The 2,970-nt window shown below is 63.2% G+C and overlaps 1 annotated feature.

Moving 5' to 3' along the window:
- Nucleotides 2,287-2,487: a silencer, noted in NCBI's record as "peak1134 fragment used in MPRA reporter construct". NCBI's record gives its function as "represses an SCP1 promoter by STARR-seq MPRAs in K562 erythroleukemia cells {active_cell/tissue: K562}" and the evidence as "EXISTENCE:reporter gene assay evidence [ECO:0000049][PMID:32103011]".

Consider the following 2,970-nt stretch of genomic DNA (forward strand, 5'->3'; position numbering starts at 1 on the left):
TGTGTGAGAAACTGCCCCGCGGCGTGTGTGTGAGAAACTGCCCCGCGGTGTGTGAGAAACTGCCCTGCGGTGTGTGAGAAACTGCCCCTCGGCGTGTGAGAAACTGCCCCGCGGCGTGTGAGAAACTGCCCCTCGGCGTGTGAGAAACTGCCCCTTGGCGTGTGTGTGAGAAACTGCCCCGCGGCGTGTGTGTGAGAAACTGCCCCTTGGCGTGTGAGAAACTGCCCCTCGGCGTGTGTGTGAGAAACTGCCCCGCGGCGTGTGTGTGAGAAACTGCCCCGCGGTGTGTGAGAAACTGCCCCGCGGTGTGTGAGAAACTGCCCCACGGTGTGTGAGAAACTGCCCCTTGGCGTGTGTGTGAGAAACTGCCCCTTGGCGTGTGTGTGAGAAACTGCCCCGCGGCGTGTGTGTGAGAAACTGCCCCTTGGCGTGTGAGAAACTGCCCCTTGGCGTGTGTGTGAGAAACTGCCCCGCGGCGTGTGTGTGAGAAACTGCCCCTCGGCGTGTGTGTGAGAAACTGCCCCTTGGCGTGTGTGTGAGAAACTGCCCCTTGGCGTGTGTGTGAGAAACTGCCCCGCGGCGTGTGTGTGAGAAACTGCCCCGCGGTGTGTGAGAAACTGCCCCGCGGTGTGTGAGAAACTGCCCCTCGGCGTGTGAGAAACTGCCCCGCGGCGTGTGAGAAACTGCCCCGCGGCGTGTGTGTGAGAAACTGCCCCGCGGCGTGTGAGAAACTGCCCCGCGGTGTGTGAGAAACTGTCCCGCGGTGTGTGAGAAACTGTCCCGCGGTGTGTGAGAAACTGCCCCGCGGCGTGCGTGTGAGAAACTGCCCCGCGGCGTGTGAGAAACTGCCCCGCGGCGTGTGTGTGAGAAACTGCCCCGCGGCGTGTGAGAAACTGCCCCGCGGTGTGTGAGAAACTGTCCCGCGGTGTGTGAGAAACTGTCCCGCGGTGTGTGAGAAACTGCCCCGCGGCGTGCGTGTGAGAAACTGCCCCGCGGCGTGGGTGTGAGAAACTGCCCCGCGGCGTGTGTGTGAGAAACTGCCCCTTGGCGTGTGTGTGAGAAACTGCCCCTTGGCGTGTGTGTGAGAAACTGCCCCGCGGCGTGTGTGTGAGAAACTGCCCCTTGGCGTGTGTGTGAGAAACTGCCCCGCGGCGTGTGTGTGAGAAACTGCCCCTCGGCGTGTGTGTGAGAAACTGCCCCTCGGCGTGTGTGTGAGAAACTGCCCCTCGGCGTGTGTGTGAGAAACTGCCCCGCGGAGTGTGTGTGAGAAACTGCCCCGCGGCGTGTGAGAAACTGCCCCTCGGCGTGTGAGAAACTGCCCCTCGGCGTGTGAGAAACTGCCCCGCGGCGTGTGTGTGAGAAACTGCCCCGCGGCGTGTGAGAAACTGCCCCGCGGTGTGTGAGAAACTGTCCCGCGGTGTGTGAGAAACTGCCCCGCGGCGTGCGTGTGAGAAACTGCCCCGCGGCGTGGGTGTGAGAAACTGCCCCGCGGCGTGTGAGAAACTGCCCCTCGGCGTGTGAGAAACTGCCCCGCGGCGTGTGTGTGAGAAACTGCCCCGCGGCGTGTGAGAAACTGCCCTGCGGTGTGTGAGAAACTGTCCCGCGGTGTGTGAGAAACTGCCCCGCGGCGTGCGTGTGAGAAACTGCCCCGCGGCGTGTGAGAAACTGCCCCTTGGCGTGTGAGAAACTGCCCCTCGGCGTGTGTGTGAGAAACTGCCCCGCGGCGTGTGTGTGAGAAACTGCCCCGCGGCGTGTGAGAAACTGCCCCGCGGTGTGTGAGAAACTGCCCCTCGGCGTGTGAGAAACTGCCCCGCGGCGTGTGTGTGAGAAACTGCCCCGCGGCGTGTGTGTGAGAAACTGCCCCACGGTGTGTGAGAAACTGCCCCGCGGCGTGTGAGAAACTGCCCCGCGGCGTGTGTGTGAGAAACTGCCCCGCGGCGTGTGTGTGAGAAACTGCCCCGCGGCGTGTGTGTGAGAAACTGCCCCGTGGCGTGAGAGAAACTGCCCCGCAGCGTGAGACACACTGCCCCGCGGTGTGCCAAAACTGCTAATCCTAGAAAAACCAGCGACTCAGGAATATTAATTTTCAAACAAATAATTATTTTAACAAAATTGCCAGGTGGAACGACTTGCTTCCGACCACATCTAATTTGGTAAAATTGCTTTGGCCCGGTTGCCAGAAGCCTTGGCAGGAACCAGGCTGAGGCAGCTGGGCCAGCCACGGAGGGCAGCGCAGCCGACCCAGGCAGGGCCGGGCAGCACCAGGCGGCAGGTGTGATCAGACGGAGCGGGTCCCACGGAAGGGCGGGGGCTTGAGCTGGACAAAGGCTGGGCCAGTGGGTGGGCAGGACCTCAGGTACCAGGTCTACTCCAGGCAGCACCAGGGACAGCTCCCAAGCCGCTGCCGGCTCTGGTCCCCAGGGAGGGGCTGGCTGCACCATGGGCCTGCTCATGGCCCTCCAGGCCAGACGCCCCAGGGACGGCACCTGGGCTGACCCTCGAAGATGCTCCAGGGCTGTGGGTAAGGCAGGGAAGGCTTCATGAATGTCAGGACAGTGAGGCCCCGTGGGTGAGCCGGAGGCAGGCGAGGGTGTGGTCGGGAGGGAACGCGTGCTTGATCCCTCCTTGGTGGTACGGAGACAGGATTGTGGGGCCGCCTGCTTCCTCCTCACTGGACCCGCCCTCTTGCCTAAGCAGGACCCCGAGGGGTGCGGTGGGGGCTGGATCCCCGTCCTTCTTGTGACCACGGCCCAGGGATGGCTGGCCAGACGGGGATGGCGTCCCAGCCCTGACAGAGCAGGGACAGGACCAAGAAAGGCCCCAGAGCCACCCCCACTCCTGGGAAGACCCCAACGATGGACTTGGCCCTGGAGGGACCACCAGGCTCCAAGAGGCAGCTCCTGACCCCCAGGATGGAGGCTTTTGTGAAAACCAGGTCATGTGGCTGATTATTCAGGTCTGGAAACCGGA

This window comes from Homo sapiens, chromosome 10 (genome assembly GCF_000001405.40).
Source record: "Homo sapiens chromosome 10, GRCh38.p14 Primary Assembly".
NCBI classification, from domain to species: domain Eukaryota; kingdom Metazoa; phylum Chordata; class Mammalia; order Primates; family Hominidae; genus Homo; species Homo sapiens.